The sequence below is a fragment of the Homo sapiens genome, chromosome 8, assembly GCF_000001405.40.
Source record: "Homo sapiens chromosome 8, GRCh38.p14 Primary Assembly".
In the NCBI taxonomy this organism is placed as follows: Eukaryota; Metazoa; Chordata; class Mammalia; order Primates; family Hominidae; genus Homo; species Homo sapiens.
Genome location: NC_000008.11, coordinates 35,176,140 through 35,177,852, shown reverse-complemented (window position 1 = coordinate 35,177,852; position 1,713 = coordinate 35,176,140). Strand labels below are relative to the sequence as shown.

The window sequence follows — 1,713 nt, the reverse complement described above, 5'->3', positions numbered from 1 at the left end:
CGCCTGGCTAATTTTTTGTATTTTTAGTAGAGGCAGGGTTTCACTGTATTAGCCAGGATGGTCTCAATCTCCTGACCTCATGATCTGCCCACCTCTGCCTCCCAAAGTGCTGGAATTACAGGCATGAGCCACCGCGCCCAGCCTGTTTTAATATTTAGAACTCTTTTTAGCATTTCTTTTAAAGCTAGTCTAACACTGACAAGTTCTCCCAGGATTTGCTTGTCTGAGAAATATTTTATTTCTCCTTTCTAAATTTTATATATAGAAACTTAGTTTTTCTGAATATAAAATTATTGGCTGACAATTACTGTGTTTAAAGACACTAAAGAAAAGACCTCAATTCCGGGGAGCAGCCAAGATGGCCGAATAGGAACAGCTCCGGTCTACAGCTCCCAGCGTGAGCAACACAGAAGACAGGGGATTTCTGCATTTCCATCTGAGGTACCGGGTTCATCTCACTAGGGAGTGCCAGACAGTGGGCGCGGGTTAGTGGGTGCGCGCACCGTGCGCGAGCCGAAGCAGGGCGAGGCATTGCCTCACTTGGGAAGTGCAAGGGGTCAGGGAGTTCCCTTTCCGAGTCAAAGAAAGGGGTGACGGATGCACCTGGAAAATCAGGTCACTCCCACCCAAATATTGTGCTTTTCGGACTGGCTTAAAAAACGGCGCACCACGAGATTATATCCCGCACATGGCTAAGAGGGTCCTATGCCCACAGAGTCTCGCTGATTGCTAGCACAGCAGTCTGAGATCAAACTGCAAGGCGGCAACGAGGCTGGGGGAGGGGCGCCCGCCATTGCCCAGGCTTGCTTAGGTAAACAAAGCAGCCGGGAAACTCGAACTGGGTGGAGCCCACCACAGCTCAAGGAGGCCTGCCTGCCTCTGTAGGCTCCACCTCTGGGGGCAGGGCACAGACAAACAAAAAGACAGCAGTAACCTCTGCAGACTTAAATGTCCATGTCTGACAGCTTTGAAGAGAGCAGTGGTTCTCCCAGCACGCAGCTGGAGATCTGAGAATGGGCAGACTGCCTCCTCAAGTGGGTCCCTGACCCCTGAACCCCGAGCAGCATAACTGGGAGGCACCCCCCAGCAGGGGCACACTGACACCTCACACGGCAGGGTATTCCAACAGACCTGCAGCTGAGGGTCCTGTCTGTTAGAAGGAAAACTAACAAACAGAAAGGACATCCACACCAAAAACCCATCTGTACATCACCATCATCAAAGACCAAAAGTAGATAAAACCACAAAGATGGGGAAAAAACAGAACAGAAAAAGTGGAAACTCTAAAACTCAGGGCACCTCTCCTCCTCCAAAGGAACGCAGTTCCTCACCAGCAACGGAACAAAGCTGGATGGAGAATGACTTTGACGAGCTGAGAGAAGAAGGCTTCAGACGATCAAATTACTCTGAGCTACAGGAGGACATTCAAACCAAAGGCAAAGAAGTTGAAAACTTTGAAAAAAATTTAGAAGAATGTATAACTAGAATAACCAATACAGAGAAGTGCTTAAAGGAGCTGATGGAGCTGAAAACCAAGGCTCGAGAACTACGTGAAGAATGCAGAAGCCTCAGGAGCCGATGCGATCAACTGGAAGAAAGGGTATCAGCAATGGAAGATGAAATGAATGAAATGAAGCGAGAAGGGAAGTTTAGAGAAAAAAGAATAAAAAGAAATGAGCAAAGCCTCCAAGAAATATGGGACTATGTGAAAAG

At 48.1% G+C, this 1,713-nt stretch overlaps 1 annotated feature.

Annotated features, from left to right (window-relative positions):
• Window positions 633-1,174: an enhancer, noted in NCBI's record as "H3K27ac-H3K4me1 hESC enhancer chr8:35034197-35034738 (GRCh37/hg19 assembly coordinates)". NCBI's record gives its function as "activates a minimal SCP1, AML or CMV promoter by ChIP-STARR-seq in naive H9 embryonic stem cells {active_cell/tissue: H9 hESC(naive)}" and the evidence as "EXISTENCE:reporter gene assay evidence [ECO:0000049][PMID:30033119]".